The 21,198-nt window shown below is 38.3% G+C and overlaps 1 protein-coding gene across 2 annotated transcripts in view, besides 1 other annotated feature; it reads left to right on the forward strand.

Moving 5' to 3' along the window:
* Positions 1 to 21,198, forward strand: part of PREX2 (phosphatidylinositol-3,4,5-trisphosphate dependent Rac exchange factor 2) — a 284,987-nt gene that overhangs the window by 257,631 nt on the left and 6,158 nt on the right. For both annotated transcript variants that reach the window (NM_024870.4, XM_047422267.1), the window contains exons 38-39: positions 7,940 to 8,042; positions 14,883 to 14,950. In NM_024870.4, the coding sequence (NP_079146.2) occupies positions 7,940 to 8,042; positions 14,883 to 14,950 (171 nt within the window). The remainder of the gene's footprint in view (positions 1 to 7,939; positions 8,043 to 14,882; positions 14,951 to 21,198) is intronic.
* Positions 19,695 to 20,274: an enhancer, noted in NCBI's record as "OCT4-NANOG hESC enhancer chr8:69141606-69142185 (GRCh37/hg19 assembly coordinates)". NCBI's record gives its function as "activates a minimal SCP1, AML or CMV promoter by ChIP-STARR-seq in primed H9 embryonic stem cells {active_cell/tissue: H9 hESC(primed)}" and the evidence as "EXISTENCE:reporter gene assay evidence [ECO:0000049][PMID:30033119]".

The raw sequence follows: 21,198 nt of genomic DNA on the forward strand, positions 1-21,198 counted from the left end.
CCAATTCTACATTGGGGAAAAACTTACTGATTTCAAATTCGTTAACAAATATTGATTTCCCTTTATATTTAGTACAAAATCAAACTAACCTCGATAAGAATGCAAGTGAATCAAAATGAGTTTCAAGGGGTTGTGGCTAGTACACGCTTTCTACAGCTGATCAAACTATTGTTTGGACCATGATCCCTTCAACTCAGAAAACCCTGACATATGCCTGTAGTGTGTTTGCCAAATATCATAGTTTACTAACAGGAAATTCTTCTGCTAATTATAAAACTGCACTAACACAAAACAAGATCATATTTATCCAAGTGATTCAGTTATGTTATTACTGTACAAAAGAGTTAAAAATTGCCGCTCAAGTAACTTTCAAAGTCTAAACGTGTATCCCTAAATTCAGTGATTTCAGTGTATTTTTCTTTCAGGGATAATTTTTAGTGGTACCTTTGTAGGTAGCATTATTGAGAACTATAGAAGTTTTCAAATTAATGTTTAATCCCACCCTCGATTTTAAAAATGTGGGGAAATAAAAAGCATCCCCTACTAAAGTTTACATTTCCCATTTGTAATTACTTTAAAAAATTTTTTTACTGCAACATCTACATAATGTCAATTTATGGCAAATTGTCATGACTACAAATTCAGAGATCATCACCCTAGATTTTCATGTGTTTTATTTAATGTGTTAGGGTCTGAGTAACCCTCCTCTACTAGTAATACAAACGTTTGGGGTTGCCCTCAGGAAATAGCAATATAATGATTGGCTACCAAGCAAAATATCAGTGTTCCTGACAGTGGGCATGCTGAGAGCTAGCAAATAAATCCACAGTAGGAAAACAGAGCTCAGAACCATAAACCTCGAATTGTTCTGGTTTCCCATGTCATTTCATTGTGAGTTACTGAATCACCCTTGTGGCCCAAAAGGGGTGTTACATCTCCCCAAGTGCTCAATAAAATGCATTTCAGTCCTTGAGAGATTGGCTTCCTTGCTCAGTACAGTTTGAATCAATATTAAATGAGGCAGTAGTAGGCTTCTGGAGGTTTTGAAATATAGAAGTGATTTTAGAATAAAATGGTTGTTTTTGTCTGCAATCATGGTAAATGACCAACTGTAGGAGGCCCGTAGTTTTCGGGAGACTCTTCCATCTAATTTATTATAGAAATGTTGAGTCATCTTAAAGGGGAGGGTTAACATGTAAACAATATCCACTTTAGGTAAGAACTGATATCTTAAAAAGTGAACTAAATATAGTGTAATGAACCTAAGTTAGAAATGGTTGAAATACAATATTTTGCATGTAAGCCAATTTAGGAAACGAAGCTTTGTCTCTCTTCTGAGACTTAGTTGAGGAGGGGACGAGAGACACACCTCTGGCATCTAGAAATACAGTTGGGAAAGAGGAGACCAGTTCACATGCTTTTCCTGACCTTCCTTTAGTTCTACAGTTTGCTGTGTAAAATAAACTCAAGATCTGATATCTAAGATCAACTGGGACAAACACCTGAAAAAACAATCACAAAGAATGTTATCAGCAAATGCCCAAATTATAGTCAGGTGGACTCTACTTTAACTGAACTCAGTTTATAAAACAAATATTGGCATACATTTGTCTTTAGCTTCATGTAATTATTATAATCTTATAACATCATAATTTACTCCAGGTTTACTTTAATGAACATCTCTTTAGAATAAAAAGGACTATAAAAGTATAAACCTTTTAAATAGTTGAAATATGATGAGATCTGAGAAACTGGGATTTACTTGTGTTCCATAAGTTTTTCCAAATAATGTACTGCCCATAAAGAGGAGGCTCCTCTACACAGACTTACCATGGCCAGGTATCACACTCATCACTTCAGGTCATTCTTGCTGCACTTTATGAGGTCAGTACACCTGCTTTCCTCAATTCACAGAGGAGATGCAGCCTGAGAGTCGAAGTAACCTGGGTACAGCTCCATAAGATTGTCTTCAAACCCTTCTGTTGTCAGCTGCCATTTTGCATTCAGAAAGAGGTTCCAAGATAGTTTGAAAGTAGTGAAAGACAGAGTAAAAATGGACACGGGATTGGGGGAGGGGTTTGTACAATGGTACTAAGATGCTGACTGAAAGCGTAAAGAAGTTGTGGGTTGTGGGGAGTAAGTAGGATACTGGGACAAGGAAGTGGAAAGTGGGAGAGGATGAAGAGTTTGCCTTTGAAAATGTTGCCACTGGAAAGCAACTGAAGATGCTTTGAATACAGTGTTGATAAACTGTTATGGTTGGGTATTTAGTAAATTACTTTGGTAATTTACGTAACAAATTGTTCTTTGATATCATGTAATGTAAATATAGAAATTGTTTCATGTCAACCAGAGAAGTAACTAAACCCACTGACTCCTAAACTCTGATGCCCAAGGCTCTGCATGTTTGAGCCCAGGCTGTTTCTCCACCCTCATCTCCTTCTCCCTGTGTGCACCAGCATATTGAGCTCCACACTTGTTCATGAGCAGACTGAACCAGCATTAACCTCAGGGCCTTTGCACTTAACTCTCCTTGAAATGGTCTTCCCCAAAACAGTACCTCCTTCTGCCATTACACCCTTCGCTAGTACCATTCCACTTTCTAATCTGCCACAACATTTATTTTTATGGGTAATTCATTCCCACCTGATATTATTCATCTGCTTCTTTATTTTCTTTGTCCTCTCACTAAAATTTGATCATCAAAAGAGATGGGACTTGGCTTTGTTCACTGTTGCATCTCCTACACACTGGAGTAATGGAGACTTGGGGGTCTGAAGTTAAGTAAAATAAAGTCAGAAAGAATTTAGAAAATTACAAAACAAAATAGGAATGAAAGTTAATATTCAGAATGTAAGAAAAATAAATTGCAATGTTTAAAATCTGATAAGTAACACAAGCATTATAAAATCCACAAAACAATAATTTTTGTTACTTTATGAACTGCCCCACTTCTGTACATTTTTTCTCCACAATTTTTGTAACATACTCTTTGCCTCTTCAAATTATAACAACTTTGCAATATAATTTTCTATAGAGAGAATAGAACAATTATTTTGTCTCTTCTCTAGCATGGATGATCAAATTTAAATTATTAAGAGTTTATCAAAGCTTTCCAACATCAAAATGAGTTATTACTAATGTCTTATACATTTTTAAATTGCTGTCAAATGCAAAAAAAGAAAAAACTTCTCTAAGTTTCTTTAGCATATGAACCATAAATTTGAGAGAATATGCCACAGAGTAGTTTCTGGCTGTATACAGTTCCAACCTTTTTGTCCTCCAAAACATATATATTTCCCATCCTGGGGGCCTCAGGATATGGACGTATTACATCATGACCTCTGGCCCTGCACCTCTTTTCCAGCATTGGATGACTGTGTACAATGGGCAGTAGGAATACTCTGGATGCCATTTCTACACAGGATACTACAATAACCCAGCCATAAATGAAAGTAATTATTGTCCAATAAATACATCCCAGCAAACCTAGCCTGACTGCATCCCAACTCAACTTTCTTTAGCTCAGTTTCAAAAATAACCACAGCGAATTGAACGCTACCCAACATGACAGAAGGAAGCTGGGATGTAAAGAAGACAGCAGCCATATCATTTGCAGTTAAAACACTTTGCTTTTGCACATTTGTAAAGGTATGTGACTATGTGAACACAGTGCTAAGGCCCCTCCCAGAACCTGGAAAGGGATTCGTACAAGTAAGGGGCCTTGAAACTCAAGCTTTTGTAGCTCCACAGTAAATCCACTCCTGCCAGCAACTTGTGGTATTTGTAGGTACAAAGTAGACAGGCAAAAAATGTTTGGCAAAAGAATAAATGAAAGAAAGAATCATGCAATAAAATATATTTTAATACATCTTCCTTAGCATTGCCAAATCAAAGTGTCCTTCAAATTAAATGGGACCCATTAGCTGCAGGTTACATTTATCATATTAAAACTGTGCTAAATATCTGAGTGATTTGGGATCTATTCTCAGTACAAAATATGTCAAGGAGATTTATTAATTATAAGCACAGATATATTGACCTTTTCCTTTTTCTTCCTATGGGGAAATTAAACATTTCTGTATAACTTTGCTACCTTATCAAGTGTGCTTCCTCACATGTATACTCTAAGCAGAGCCATTACTTGGAATGTCTTATTACTAAAATTAAGGACAAATTTTCTTCATTGCCTATGTTACAATTGCCTTTTTATGAAGGACAAATACTACTCTGTGACATTTATTTTGTTATTTTGTGGCTTCTAGGGAAAGAATTGTGTGAATATTTTTTAAGTGATGTTGTAGTAGAAGGAGCTGAAAAATTGAAGGCCTATATTTTCCAGGTGGGGTAAAAATACAGATTTATTCACATTTTAATTTAATTGTAAAACAGAGTTCATGTTAGAAAGAAGATTGGGGCATCAGGTAAGAAACTCCATATTGGGCTGGGCATGGTGGCTCACACCTGTAATTCCAGTACTTTGGGAGGCTGAAGCAGGTGAATCGCTTGAGACAAGGAGTTCAAGACAACCTGGGCAAAATAGTGAGAACCCATCTCCACAAAAAATACAAAAGTTGGCTGCATGTGGTGGTGTATTCCTGTAGTCCCAGCTACTTGGAAGGCTGAGGAGGGAGGATCACCTGAGCCCAGGAAGTCGAAGCTGCAGCGAGTTGGGATGGCGCCACTGCATTCCAGCCTGGGCAACAGAGTGAGACCCTATCTCCAAAAAAAGAGAAACCTCCTATTGAATGAGGGTTCCTGGCCTTTAATATGCTCCTTTCTTTCTTTTGCCCAGGGCTAGCATATCAATCTCTCTGGTCATCAGAAAGTGCCTGTAAAATCAAATGAGCTCTCGTAAACCTGACTCTGAGTATATATTTATGTACCACTGAAAAACTGTGTGCCACCTTCCTGGACCTGGAGTCCATCAGAGAATGCCAGCATCAGAATGTTTCTTGCAGATGCTGATTTTTTCCACTTGACATTCAAATTGAGATAGTTGGGAGAAGATGAAAAGCTATGGGGCAAATAAAAGTGACAGAAAAGTGGCAGCATTCCTGAGAGGCTTTCTTTCGCATGCTTAGTTTAGGAAAATAGAATTCTGTGATGCTGTGAGTGGAAATACAAGGCCTTGGTTGGACCCATCAACCATGAATCAAATTACAGGCAATATTTCCCACCTTTATGTGATTGCCTCTTTTTAACACTTTTTACTTTTTTAAAATTTCAAATTAATTTTGATTCCTAATTGGAAGATACATAATGGTTAGCATGAAAAGACAAATAAAGGTGCAGCCATCTGTTTTGGAAATGCTGGGGAAAGAAAATACACATATCCATTTGAAGGTAGATTTTTCTCTTAGGTATTGTGTGATTGGTTGCAAATCACACTTGGAGGTATCCTTTCAGAGAGCATGTTCCTGGGCACATTCGCTTCCTGATTGCAGTAAAATCTTTTAAAATCTCTGGCGGGTAATTTGCTGCTGTACTGCTGCTTACTACAACTTGAGGTAGGGAGAAAGAGATCAGTTTAAAAGGATTAAGAAAATGAGTAGTAATTGTAGGCTGTCTGTTAAAAACCCTTCACAGTGTGTAAGTCTTGTTTATAAGTGAGTACACGAGAGATAAAGCAAGTTCTGCTTTATCAGTAAAGCACAGACATATTTCAGCATGATTAGAAACAGATAAAGATTTTTTTTTTCCTCCCCTTGGCTTCATTCAGCTGGTGTAATGAACATTATTGATTAAAATGTTAGGATCAATAAAGATTTAAAATCGCAGTGGAGGAGACCTTAATGAGGAGAAAAAGGTTATGGTCTGTTGAGTAAGCTGGCAGTTAAATGCTTTGTAGAAAACTGATTTTTTTTTTCTTTTTTTTGAGACAGAGTCTCGCTGTCGCCCAGGCTTGAATGCAGTGGTGCGATCTCTGCTCACTGCAAGCTCCGCCTCCTGAGTTCACGCCCTTCTCCTGCCTCAGCCTCCCAAGTAGCTGGGACTACAGGCACCCACCACCACCACCTGGCTGATTTTTTTTTTATTTTTAGTAGAGACGAGGTTTCACCGTGTTAACCAGGATGGTCTCAATCTTCTGACCTTGTGATCCGCCCGCCTCGGCCTCCCAAAATGCTGGGATTACAGGCGTGAGCCACCGTGCCCGGCTGAAAACTGATTTTTTAAACATGAACTATTAGTTATTACTGCTTGGCCTTCATTGGCATAGGCTGTTCTGCAGCTTGCATGTACATGTAAGACAATATGCATTGTTATCGGACTCACACACTAAAAGTTTGTGAACATCATGTACAACTAGAACTTAATGATGAAACTTGAACATGTGTTAATAATAATAATGAATTCTCTGTAATGAGAAAGCTGCCTCTCAAGTCATTTAACAGCCAGTGGAACTTACATATTTCTCCTTAGAATGCAGTTATATGTAATCACACAGTTGCACTTTGTGAGGTTCTAATATTACAACAAGAATGTTTTAAATCCCTCTCTCCTCTTTTTCTTAATTATCAGTATCAAAACCTACCAAATGCATTGGACTTCTGTGTTAGAGCCTCATAACCAAGAACTTCTGTGTTACAGCCACATAGCTAATGAGTTAGATTTTTCTCCCATAGGAACAATTGCATTGTAGAACTTACTTTTATTTGCAGGGAAAAATACTAGACAGATCTAGGAAAATACACAAATCAACAACAAACTACAGGGAGGTAAATGCAAAATAAGGAAAAGGCTAATTAAAATACAAATATGTTGGAAAAAACAAAACAAAATCCATTAATACAATTTTAGGAGAAGCATCTAAAATTGACAATTTTTATGAAATGTATGCAAAAGAACATTTTTTTAATGTTCTTTTTAGTGCATGCAAAAGAACTTTTAAAAGAACAATTCAGAGACCAGCACCTGAAAATGTTAACAAATAAACATAGGCTTTCAGGGGTACTGTAGAGATCAATGTGGAAGAACATAAAAGAATGCCTTAAAGAAAAGGAAAAGAACAGCCGGGCACAGTGTAATCCCAGCACTTGGGAGGCCAAGACTGGTGGATCACGAGGTCAGGAGATTGAGACCATCCTGGCCAACATGGTGAAACCCCATATCTACTAAAAATACAAAAATTAGCTGGGTGTGGTGGCATGCACCTGTAATCCCAGCTACTGCTACTTGGGAGACTGAGGCAGGAGAATTGCTTGAACCTGGGAGGCAGAGGTTGCAGTGAGCTGAGGATGCGCCACTGCACTCCAGCCTGGCAACAGAGCAAGACTCCATCTCAAAAAAACAAAAAAAAAAAAAAAAATGAGAGAGAGAGAGAGAAGGAAAAGAACAAAGGCTCACCAGTCACTAAATGCTGGTTAGAACACTTTTCTCAGGGCTACTCTGGGTATCACATTTCTATATAACCAGTTATGAGTTCCTTTTGGAACTTTTACAAATACTCTTTTAGATTGAGTCCAATAAACACATTTTAAAAAATCAATTCTGACCTCAGTAAATAGTAATTTCACCATTTATTCTTCTGCTATATTTGTGCACAAATCAGTATAAATCTATTAACTATCAATATGTAGAAGTTAATGATAAATATTCTTTAGTCATTTCTTCTAAATTACATGAAATATCATTAAAGAATAATATTTAGTAATAAAACTTGTTCTAATTCTGGTTATTTAATTTTCTGTAGATAAGTGCTCTTATAAACAGTTCATCATGGGATTGTTTTAAATTTAAATACTTAATTTCTGACCCCAGTAATGTACCTTTATAATCTATTTTTAAACTGGTATTTTATGTAGAAAAATCAGCGGTTCATTGTCTAGCTGCTTTTATTTTGGCTGGTGCTTTCTGATTTTGTGATTAGTAATCCACATCATCTCAAAGGGTGTATCAGGAACCATGGGGTCTGACTTGCCCTTGCCTTGGCCCACAGGTGCACCCTGAGCGTGACGCTGGAGCAAGCCATCATTCTGGCCAGAAGCCACGGACTGCCACCTCGTTACATCATGCAGGCTACAGATGTGATGCGGAAGCAGGTAGGTCTCATGCAGACTTGGGAATAGTTGTTTTGTAGGCCCTGGACTTGAAGATTCCTTTGTTCATTTATCAGGGGTTTGACAGGTGCCTGGATGTGATGGACAGTTTACTAGGCTCAGAGGTAACTCATGAATGAGAAATGCTCCCAGGGAGAAGATGCTGCAGGCACCAGTCTGAGGTTCTGCAAGAATCTTAGACAACTCTGGAAAAAGGGAAGTCTACGGAGTAATCTGCAGGCAGAAAGGGACTTGATTAAGTGGAATAAGGCAGCAGTGAATTTGGCGTTTATGTAAGGAACAAGTAAAAGGACATATGGCATTTTTTGGCAATTGTTAGTGGTAAAGCTTGGGACGGAGAGGCACAGCAGCAAGGAAGAAGAGGAAAGAATTGAGGGTCCTGCTGGTTCCTGGTGACTGCCAAGGGACATTCATGCCATACTCAGTGTGTACATTTTTCTGAGGATAAAGCACTTACCTCAAATTTTCCTTTAGGGGATAAATAGCAGTCTTTGGACTGTCTTCGGGTCACTGGAGTACTTATAGGCGAGAATATACTCTCTTATAAATAGAATGAACTTTATTCTATACAGTAGCCCAATAGTATTCTAAGTGTGGCGGTTTAGTTTTTACCCCTTAAAGTTATTTTAAAAAATGCACTAAGCTCCAATTTACTAATTACAAAAATGTGCTTAATCTAGCAGAAAAGATACTTAACCCACAGAAAGACAAAAGAAATCAAAAGACAAATTTTATATTTTATTCTACCACCTTTTCTTTGGGCTACCACAAGAAATTGATTTAACAAATTTCTCTACTTGCTGACTTGGTTTGAGTTGCCCAGTGACAGTGAGTGATTTAATTTTTAAGATATGCTTTGTAATTATGACTACTTTGTTTATTGGAAGCTTAGTATCTAACTCGCAGGCAAACGTATAAATCCCTCTGGGCTTGCTCCCAAGACTGCATTGCAGAATGCCAACAAAGCCCATGAAAAAGTCAAATGAAGAGGCCAACATCAAGCTGGTGTCTGCAATGCGAAGATCAGGCACAGAGAGAGCATATACATTGGTACTTCTGGTTAGGGCTCAGGAGCTGAAGATTGAAAACCAAGATCTTAGAAGGTCCAAGAGAGATTTGTTAAGTAAAGTTTAGAGCTAAGAAGCATGTGACATACTGTGGGCCAGCTGGAAAGGGTAAACACAGATGTGATTTGCCAGCAGGTTTAGGAAGGACTTTTTGGATATATATACAAATTATGTTTTAAAAAGTAGATCCAGGTAAACTTATGATTATCCATATCAGAGTTGAGATTTAGGTTGCTAAGAAATACAGAAAGAAATTAATTGCCTTTCTGTTTGATTATGTTGCTTATTAGAGTAGGTTTGTAGGAAGACTTGGGAAGCGCCATCTCAAAATTATAGCTTATAACAAGCAAAAGAGACTGGAATTTACTTTCTTTTAGAATATTCCACTAAGGAGGTAGTTATGAGTTGGTGACATATCCATTTCTACTGTATAGATTTGAATAGTCATAATTATATCAAATACGTTAACTTCTTAAAACTAAAAGTGGAAATAGAGAAAATAGAGAAAAAGTAATATTGATATTATGCAGGCCCCGATGACTCACTTAACTGGTGTAAAGCTCTTTAAAATACAATGTAAATTATATTTATATAGTATTACTATATTGATGTGTATTATGTAAGTATAGTATAATTTTAAAACTCAAAAGTCATGGGTTCCTTATAAAATTCCTGTTGGTATATAAACTGCACTATTTTGTCAGTATATATCACTTGTTCTTCCCCCGAATTTTTTTAAAAAATGAATACATTTGGAATAGGTAGCTTTCTTCCTTTGTTATTTGTTCCTCTGCCCCAAGTTGTGACGTCCCAATGGCTATGAGAGGCAAAGAAATAAGGTTTAACTTCTTTGTGAAAGATCATAGAGCCTGGGACCCTCTTTAAGGAAACTGGGCAGACTGGTGGCCCCAGAGATTTCTTCAACAGTCCCCTGTCGCGGATTCTCCTTCCAGTATTCAGCAGTAGCAGACAGTGAGATTTGTGGCTGAGGGCCGATCCACAAGCCAACTCTTACCTACCTATGATTTGAGCAGTTAGAATGCAAGTCTGAATCAAAGGTCTAGCCTGGGTTTTCTCTCCTTTTTACCTTTCAGCCTCAGGGACAATTACTTAACCATTTAGACTCAGCTTTTTAGAGACCAAGTGGTTAGATATTTGTCATCTTCAGTATATATTGAAGTATTTGCATTATTGCATTATCGAATTTGTATTATGATATATTAGAGAATAATATTTACTATTAAAGTTTTATAATATATAAATGAATAATATAATGAAAAAACTAAGATTTTTTAATTTTTTTGGGAATAAGAAACTTTTTGGCATGATTTATTGTTCTTATTTATAATTTCAATATTGTTTTCCTCTGCAGATTTTGTGTATATACTTTTCATACAGTTGTTATTTTAATTCACTGCTTGAGTTTGAAGGAAAGATAAAAGACAGAAGAGAAGGGTACTATGTTTTCATGATGTTTTGCTAATGATTGTAACAACCTTGGGCAGCACTTTATGTAACCAGCTGATTTGATTAATAAAAGGCTTGCAGTAGAAACTGTCATTTACATTATAAATTTAAAGTTTTCTATGCCATAATTATATATTCCTAGTGTTCTTTGTTGGCAGCCTAGAAAGAAATGTCTTCTCAACCTTTTTAATAAAAACTGGGATTCCAAAGTACCCTGACCCCTTACCTTCAGTATCAAAGCATCACACTGGACACAAAGAACAAAGACATGAGGTTGACATGCTCCTTGCCTTATCTCATGGTGGACACATCCAAAGGAAAATCACCATGCCACGGGCACAAGCAAGCAAGTTTCTCCAGGGTAACCAACCTCAGTGTATCAAGACTCAGAACAGGGAGCAAATGAGTAGACTGAGCCCCTCCCTGGCTGGGATAAGTCTTACTCATTTTTGTATCACAGTTTCCCAAAATAGTACCTAGTACAAAGTAAATGCCAAAAGATACTTGTTCAATGATGTCATTCTAACTAGGATAGCTGGCGAAGGGCTTCATGCAGAAGATGAATTTATGATAGCGATTAAAAGCACAGAACAAGTTTTTGTTTTGTTTTAGATTTAAGGGGTACGTGTGCAGGTTTGTTACATGGATACGTTGCATAATGCTGGGGTTTGGGCTTCCATTGAACCCATCACCCAAACAGTAAACATAATACCCAATAGGTAATTTTTTAATCCTATCCCCCTTCCTTCCTCTCCCCTTTTGGAGTCCGCAGTATCTGTTGTTTCCATCTTTATGTCCATGTGTACTCATTGTTTCGTCCCCACTTAAAAGTGAGAGCATGCAATATTTGATTTTCTATTCAAGTGTTAATTCACTTAGGATAACGGCCTCCAGCTGCATTCAGGCTGCTGCAAAGAACATGATTTTATCCTTTTTATGGCATATAATATTCCATGGTGTATATGTACCACATGTTTTTTATCCAGCCCACTGTTGATGGGCACTTAGGTTGATTCCATGACTTTGCTATTGTGAATAAAAGAGAACAGACTCTTGAGCCAAGCAGCCACAGTTTGAGTCCCAACTTCAGTGTTGGCTATCTGGGTGATTCAGGGAAATATTCTTAGCCTCTTTGGTACTTAGTTTCCTCAGTATTAAAACAAGGATAATAATAGTACTTGTTTCATAGTGTTGTTGTGAGGATTAAGTAAGTAAATATACTTAATGCACTTAAAACAGTACCTGATATGGTGAGTGACCAATCAATTATTAACTAAGATGATATTTGATTTGGAACTTGGAAGATAAATATGATGCAGACAGGAAGGGAAGGGGGCAGGAAGAGTATTTAAGTAGAGGGAGCAATGGCAATATAAGCCAGAGTGTAAAAATGCAAGTAGCTGGAGTGTTGAGTTTATGAACAATATAGATGAATTTAAAGTGAAATGTGCCAATAGATGTCTTCAGCATGACAGGCATCAGTTTTATTTGAAACCTTTTAAGAAAGCAAACATTTTTCTTAATGGAATTACTTAATGGAAATATTATAAGACTATAGACAAAAAGCATTGTACACAAATACGTCACACTAGTTAGTAAATCTATTTTTCATAGGGTATGATTTGGGAATTCTAAAACTAATTTATGTGTTACTAAGAATGAACAAATAAGATATTGTAAATAACGAGAGGCTGATTTCTCACTGTCTGAGAAAAAAGTTACAAATAAGGAAAGGAAGAAGGCTGGAATCTGGAATGAACCCTATGCTACTGGATTGAAATCACATGTATCAGTATGAACTGATAAACACACACACAGACACATACAAATATGGATAGATGTAGAAATGAATATAGATGTATGAGTATGTTTGTATTTGTAAATTAGCCCTGCCTGCTGGAAAGGCCTAGTTGCAGTTATTCTCCCAGTAGTAAAGAGCACACTCAGTGTCCAAATCCTGGCTTCTAAATACCATTCTCCAATAAAAATAGCCAGGGCCCCTTGGAGAATTGGTAAATTACCAGACGAGAAAAGGAAGACAAGTCTGGAACATCTTGAGGTGCCAGAAAATAAAGGAGTACTAAACAATGATGGCAGCATATTAAAAAGGCACAAGAAACAACCAGAAAGAGCTCCCAGTGGCCAAAACTGAAACAATTTTAGCAAAAAAAAAAAAAAAATGTATATAAGTATTAGATTATAGCTCATGGAATAAAATAATTATGAGTCCACACTGATTTAAATATATACTTGAATAAATAAATAATTTGGGGAGAAGAGATTACTCTTTTTAACAGAATTCCAGTCCATAAACAAAACAATATTATTGTTGTAGACAAGATACACCAACAGAGGCTAAAATCAGTGAGTGAAAGTTTGAAGAGAAACAGGATATTGCATAGTCTCATAGTATGTCCCTAAATATATTTATTAACTACCAAAAAAAAAAAAAAAGCAATGAGTAACTTTACAGTTCCAAAATCTGGCAGACACCAGAGTGATCAAAGTTAATGTCAGCAGTGATAAGATATGCCAATATCCTGTATCCCCTGATAGGATGCACTGAGAAGGGCATGACATCACTTCTGTGATTTTCTTGCCCAAAATGCATTTCCTGAATCTAATCGTGAGCAAACATCAGACACACCCAAACTGAGACATTCTGCAAAGTAATGACCAATACTTATCAAGAGTGTTAAGGTCATGAATGGCAGGAAGGACCTCAGGAACTGTCACAGATTGGAGGGGAGTGAGGAGACAGGTAAGCGAAAGGCAATATGGGATCCTAGGTTGGATCTTGGAACAGAAAAGAAACCTTAGTGGGAGAAAATGGAGAAATTTGAACAAGATGCGCAGTTTAGTTAATAATATTGTACCAATGTTAATTCTTGGTTTTAGTAATCACACTGTGGTTAAGTGAAGGGTTAACGTTAGGGGAAGCCACATGGAGTATGTGAAGTCTCAGTTCTGTCTGTATTTTCCTCTAACTGTAAAATTACTTCAAAATAAAAAGTTTTCTTTGTTTGTTTTGTTTTTGTTTTTGTTTTTAAAGACTGGTTAAGTGCAGTGGTGAAAAGTGGGGAAAGAGCAGAATAATGAGTTCAATTGATCTGTAACTGCCTATGAACAGTCAATTGAGATAACTGCTTTTGGATTAGCCAAAATAGTTTTTCTTAAGTCCTTAATTGCAATTCCTAAATTTCTTCCCACCTTTCTTTTTGATGCCACACCCCCTTCCCTTTTTGTTTTCCTATTTTACGTCCTTTTTTTCCTTCTTTTTATCTTGTTTCTTTCCTTAGTTCAGAATGTAGTAGCTGGAGAGAGAGTTTCAGAGTTTTTGAACAACTCTCCTTAACCTTTTCCAAACCCCAAACTCTGGTCTTTGGTCCTATGTAGTAAGTAATTTTCATGAGGAACTAAAGTGATTATAACTTCATTCATGAACTTGACAGACTGTGAAGAATTTTTCATTGCCAAAGTAGATTTTATTATAAACTCTGAGGCAGAATTACTAGATTTCATAGATCCACATGGACATAGCTTGTCCAAAAATTGCTTTAGAATTAGTTAAGAAAATATTTTTTTGCTAAATACTAGTAAACTTAATGATTCACGTAAGAGAAAAACAAGTGCACAGGTGTGATAAAACTGTGATTTCTGTTCCAGAAAAGTGGTAACACAGAGCAGGTATTTATAGTCTGCTCATTTACTATTTTCAACATCTTTTTAAAATTTTTATTTATTTTTATTATTTTTCTTTTTTTGTGAGAGAGGGTCTCATTCTGTCTCCCAGGCTGGAGTGCAGTGGCACAAATATGGCTCACTGCAGCCTCAACCTCCTAGCCTCAAACAATCCTCCCACTTTAGCCTTTCGAGTAGCTGGGACCACAATTGCGTGCCACCATGCCAGGCTAATTTTTCTATTTTTTGTAGAGACAGTCTCACTATGTTTCCCAGGCTGGTCTTGAACTCCCAGGCTTTAGTAACCCTTCCACGTTGGCCCCTCAAAGTACTGGAATTACAGGCATGAGCCACTGTGCCTGGCCTGTTTTCAACATCTGAAGTATTGATCGCTTCTAGGAATAAAGACAAAGCAACATAACAGCACATTTTTATTAAAAGCATTGATTTTGAAAATGCTCAGACAGCGATGTCTGTCTTTCTCTTAGCTAATCTCCCTTGATGTTAAAGACATTGTTTGAATAAGTATCCTACACACAAATGTTAATGGTATGTTAAATTATTACTAACACACTGTAGGGATAAAAGTGATTTTCCTGACTTTCAGGGAGCAAGAGTTCAGAACACAGCGAAGAATTTGGGAGTCAGAGACCGGACTCCACAGTCTGCACCAAGGTAAGTGCATCCCCTGCTCTGCCCTTGCCCGAAAGATTTGCCAGCATTTTCCCCGGCAGTGTCCCTCCGCTAATGCAACTGATCTAGGATGTGCCCCGTGTCGTACTGATTGTAATTACGGAGATTGCCCTTGAAACACCCAATGGCTAAGTGTGATTACACATAAATGCTCTCAGAAATAAATGGATATTATTCTATTTTGCAAGTTCTATCATGAATTCAAAAAGAAAAGCTCACACAGGCACTACTAAAATTTGAAATCCAGCTGTGACAAACAACCAAAATCCCATTTTCATTTATACTTCTGTGACTGTACATGCTGTTCCTTCTAGCATGATTGCCTTTCCCATATGTGTTTGTATGGGAAACTCCTATTTCACTGCAAAACCTAGCTTAGATGTCATTTTCTCCTTGGAGTCTTGCTTGAGTTTCCTTCCTCTCTGTACTCCCTTAGCATCTTGTCATATTGACCTATGATAAACTTTATCATATCTTGTTGCAATATATTGTCACATGTTCCTTTGCCCAACCTGAATATGAGTTTTCTGGAGGCAGACATATTTCTTTGGATTTTATTTATTACTCATCATAGTAAACATCAAATATCTGAACAGATTTCAAGAATGTCTGAATGAAGAAATGAATGATTTTTTTGTTTGTTATCTCAAATATTTACAGTTCACACAGCATCATAAGAAAGGACTCCCATTGACTTTAAAATAAATGAACATAAATAATAGCCATCAGAGAAATGCTCTGGTTTTGATTTCCATGGTGATGAGGGTAGGCAACCATCTATCTTGAAGGGGGGAAAAGCTAAATAATTTCTTTTACATTTGATTGCTTTTACACATTTGTATTTTAACAAAAAATAGGTTCTTCCAAACACTGCCACAGACAAAACACTATTTCTCTTCACAGAGCAGTTACCAGAGTGGGAATGATGGCTGCAGCATTTGTGAAGTAATATTTCATTCTGAAAAACCATGTGGGTAGTGAAAGTGCTTTCAAAGGGAAAACAAACTTTCCCCCTGAAAATGGTTGGAGCACTCATGTTCTAATTGCACTTATTTTTAGTGCTGACTCCTAACTCTATTTAATCCTGAAGTTTTGTTAATGTCGTCTTTCACAGTTGATTAGGTTAGAATCTAAGGCTTTATATTGCTAAAGGATTATTTTTACATACGCATTCTCCATCCAGCACCTTGGGAAGCATGGTATATTTGGATAATAGACACAGTGAAGTGTTAAAATTCCAATAAGAAAACAAGACCATGGCTCAGCAAGGTGTTCTTAGCTAGACCTATAAACACTAATAAACAGTGGGGTGGGGATCAGACTTCAGCACCCTGATCAATAAACCAGTGTGCAAGCTGAACACAAGAAAAGAAACCAATGAATTTGCTTTTTTTTTCTTTATTGGGTGATGTTAAAAACACTCGAAACGAAACGCAATAAAATGAGCCAGCCATAAAGTTGACATTATCTACAAGGGAGTAATAGGCCTGAGAGAGAAAGCAAGAGTAATTTTTAAAATTTATTTTATTTATTCTTTCATTCATTCTGCAAATATTTATTGAGGACCTCAGAAAGGCAAAGCACTCTGCTATGCCCCAAGGAGAGTATAAACCTGAATTAGAAATAGCCCTGGCCTTCACACAGTTTTCAATTAAAAAGATGAGGTGAAGAAGGCATAATTACAAGGAAAGGTAGAAAACAGGAATCACCCTGTGGAGGTGCAGAGAGAATGCCAAGGAGCACAGAGGGGCTGGGATCTCTCCCAGCTGAGAACCTGGACTCCAGCCCCAAAGACAGTGAGTTGAAGAACACATTTGGCAGTCAAGGTAAGGCCATCCATGAGCAAAGCTGGGATAATATTTCTGGAAACATCTTCATGGAGCTGAAGTTTGCTATCTCTGTCTGAGATACTATTTGATTCAAATCCTCAACCCATCCTTATCAGAGTTTTCCTCTTACCATCCTCTTGATGTTTTAAAAAATTTACTCAGAGCAATATATATTGAATTTCTGCTGTGTGTCTATAGGTGTCAGGCCCCTTGCTAAAAGCTAGAGGACTAAAGACATAGTGTCCTCCACCAGTTGTTGAAGTGTAGTAGAGTAACAATGGAATAGAATGAAAATAGTACACAGTGTGTGATGGAAATAGGCATAGATTGTCATGAGAACACAGAGAAGGGACATAATGCAGCCTAAGGACAGAGAGAAGAGGTCACAGAATACTCCTGGGCCTGTCAGCATTGTAATGCATGTCCCATACTGGGGATGCAATAGTACCAAGGACCACAGAAGAAGTGATGTTTTGAGAACTATGCCTAGACCTCAATGACTGGTGGTTGAATGTGATTCAAGTATGATGTGAAGTGAGACTGGAGATATAGGCAGAGCCAGATCAGAGAGACTTGTAGGAGTACAGAAGAGTTTTGATTTTAACTTGAAGACAATAGGGAGGCATGCATAAGCAATCTTCTTATCTGGATGATTTGAATTTTAGAATTTATCTCTGGCAACATCAGGATGGCCCATTTGAGGACAGCTAAGACTGAAGCAGGAGCTTAAAAAAAATTATGGTAGTATTGAGGCCAAGATGAGAGGATGGGTTAGAGAGATGTTTAGAAGACAGAATCAATAGTCTTTGGACACGAATTGGATAAAGGAGTTTAGGGAAAAGGAAGATTCTAGGATGACCACCAAATCTTTGGCTTGGATAATGAGGTGCTGGTGGTTCTTTCCTCTGAGACAGTGGGTGCAGAAGGGAAGCACACGCACAGGGAGGAGATGGGGAGCTCAGCTTGGTAGTACTGAGATTGAGCATCAATCCTCATCCCTGGAGAGGACATTGTGGACAGTGGAATACACTGGTCAAAAGCCAAGGAGAAAAGAATAGGTGGCACTATAGTCCTATGAGTCTTCGATATTTAGGAGGTAGGTGAAGACACAGAAATCAATTTCGTTACCACAATGTATGGGTAAGAGAGATGAGAGGAGGTCAGGACACCCTCAGGGGATGTCAGCACTGAAGAGAAAGCAGAGGAAGCGGGGCTACAGAATCTAAAGTGAGCTATGGACTGGAGATGGTTGTTCTGGCATTCAAAAAGGAGCAATCAGCCATAGTCACACTACTGGGAGAGTGAATATAATAATTTAGGAAATCAGAAAGCTAGAAAGCAGAGTATCAGAGTTTAATAATTCTGAGGTAGGTAAAGCCTGCTCTGGGGAGGGATGTTTCTTGGACACCCTTGGCTCCAGTGCATTTTGCATTCTCCCCTTTAGCAATCTGTGTCTAAAAGATGTGTCCAGAACTGCTTTTGGCATTGGGGTATTAAGATGGATGAGAAATGCTTCATGCACACAAAGAGCTTGCAGCCTAGTAGAATACAAAGACAAAATAAATTTAGAGAATCAAGTGAATGGGTATTGTGATAGGATAGAATGGGTATGTGAGGAGGGAGTACAAAGGACCTTCCCCCTCCCAGTTTCATACATTGGCTCTTCAGGGCAATAAGCCCCTCTTCCTCAGGAACCAAATATTACATTCCAGATGTCGGATTGCACATCCAGCACACTGGCTTTATTCACAAAATAAAGTTTTTGTTATGTCACAAAATCTGGAACTCTTGTGCTATGAAAACCTGATTTTCTTTAGTTGCTTAACCAGGAGGGGGCATTCTATGGTGGTTAAAAGTGAAAAAAATTGGCCGAGCATGGTGGCTCATATGTGTAATCCCTGCACTTTGGGAGGCTGAGGTGAGAGGATTGCTTGATACTGGGAGTTCAAGACCAGCCTGGGCAACAAAGCAAGACCCTGTCTTTACATAAAATAAAAAATAAAAAATGGCCGGGTGCATAGGCTCACGCCTGCAATCCCAGCACTTTGGGAGGCCGAGGCAGGCGGATCATGCGGTCAGGAGATCAAGACCATCCTGGCTAACATGGTGAAACCCCATCTCTACTAAAAATATAAAAAAAAAATTAGCTGGGCATGGTGGCATGCTCCTGTAGTCCCAGCTACTCGGGAGGCTGAGACAGGAGAATCTCCTGAACCCAGGAGGTGGAGGTTGCAGTGAGCCGAGACTGCGCCACTGCACTCCAGCCTGGACGACAGAGCGAGACTCCGTCTCTAAATAAATAAATAAATAAATAAATAAATAAATAAATAAGCCGGGCTGTCAGCCTGTGGTCCCACCTACTCAGGAGACAGATGGAAGGATAGCTTGAGCCTAGGAGGTTGAGGCTGCAGTGAGCTATGGTTGTACCACTGCACTCCAGCCTGGGAGACAGAGTGAGACCTTGTCTCTTTAAAAAAAAAAAAAAAAAAAAAAAGAAAGAAAAAAATGGCTATGTGACCTTATTTAGTCAGGAGTTTTTTCCTGTCTGAGACTCAGTTTTCTCATTTGTGAGATGGGGAGAATTGCCTTGGGACAGAGTATGATTGATGCTTTAACCTTGAAAGAGGCGTTTACTTTGTGGTCTCCTTTCACATAACTTTTATTGTTGCTGTGTAGAAAGGTGAAAGGCACCATCTATAGCATGAAGTTGGAAAGTTCTGCTCTTGGCAGATTTGCATTTGGTCAGGAAATTTGGGCTACCTAAGCTCAAACAAGAATAGGAGAAAGAAGGCCAAAACCAAACCTTTTTCGTGCAGGGCCACTGATGTGAGTGGAATGAGTATACAAAAGGGCCCCAAATGATGGGCAGACCAAGGCCTCACTCTGCCCAACAATTTATCTGCCAAAAAATAAATGCTTCAGTGCAGGATGAGAGTCCAACTCTTATCTATTACATTTCACTTAGAAATTTCATCTGCCTGTTCTGAATTCCCAAAGCTCTGCAATTTCCATTACAAATGTGTTTGAACTCAAATAACCCTGAGTCACTTCCAAGAAGCCTCACAGAAGCTGAATCTGCCCAGTTCCACAATACCCAGAGCTACTATTTCATTAGGTGATCACAGGGAGTAGCCTTTTCTTCAATTTGCAAGGCAGACATTTCAAAGACTCGTCTACCCAGTGCTATTAGTTACATTATGTGGAAACGTGCTGAGCAAGGTAATGGAATGTGATGGCTCAGCCCAGATCTCATGGGGCAGGACATTCGCCACCCATCTTCCCATTCCTGTCCTACGTGACTAAGCCCATTGTGCCTTTTCAATCATTAGGCAGCACTGTCAGGGAAATAAGAGGAAGGAAATTAAGAAGAAAAAGAGCCTCCTTATTCTTTCATTATCCCAGCCCTGGGAATGCAATTTGAAGTAACACCATATTCTTCAGCTGCAAAAGAACCTTTGAAGTACATCGGGTCAATTGAATGTATTCTTTTCTCTGGGAAGGATGAAATAAGCTTCTTCTGATGTGAGATGTCTTTATTTCAGTATTCGCCTCTTGCATGGAGATAACATGTAGTGCATCAACCACCTTCCGGACTTGAAATACGTTTTGCAAACCTCCAAAGTCAATAGCTTCTTCTACGTGTTCTCATACTAGGAAAGCTCATTTTGTTAACCAGGAGTTATAACTCAATATTAAATCTTGCTCATTCTTCTCCTTTGATCTATAATTAGCATGGGATTAAATGTCAAAGGGAGAGGAAATTTATAATTTGCTAAATTGATCAACAACATTGAAGCTGTTTTCAATTTAGTCGGTAAAAGGGATTGAATCACCACAGCTAGTCCTGGGTTGTAGTGCTTTTATGAAAAGATGCCATGTGGAAATCTGCAGCTTATATTTTGACATCATTAGTCCAAGCTCTGCAGTGGGACCAGTGTGGCCATGGGTGCTGTTTAGAGAACAGGCATAGTCCAATCCAGCATTTTAGTTCAGCCAATCAATCTCTCAGGATATGCTGTAAGTAATGCATATGGCCTTGAGATCACTAGGGCTATCAAGCAGCTATTATGTTCCCTTTTACTTTGGTTCTGCTGTTATCATTTAACCACTGAGGAGAATGTGGAGCACCAGAACTTGTGTGACTGTAGTTAAACCCCCTGAGTTTTCCTTGAATGCTGTATAGTCTTGAACAACTAGACCTGGGCTGCAATGGGAAGCATTTCCAGGCATCTCCATGGTTTAAGTGGATCCTTGACCCACTTGGAGAGCCCACAGTCGGGTGAGTGGGCCCTGGGCAGAGCTGGGTAATTTATCCTTAGGAAACTCTAGCCAATTGTGCCTTTGAGATTTAGGTCTCAGGAATCTTGCCATGTCAGCCTATCCACAGCCAACTGCCTGCAC

The sequence above is a fragment of the Homo sapiens genome, chromosome 8 (genome assembly GCF_000001405.40).
Source record: "Homo sapiens chromosome 8, GRCh38.p14 Primary Assembly".
Taxonomy (NCBI): domain Eukaryota; kingdom Metazoa; phylum Chordata; class Mammalia; order Primates; family Hominidae; genus Homo; species Homo sapiens.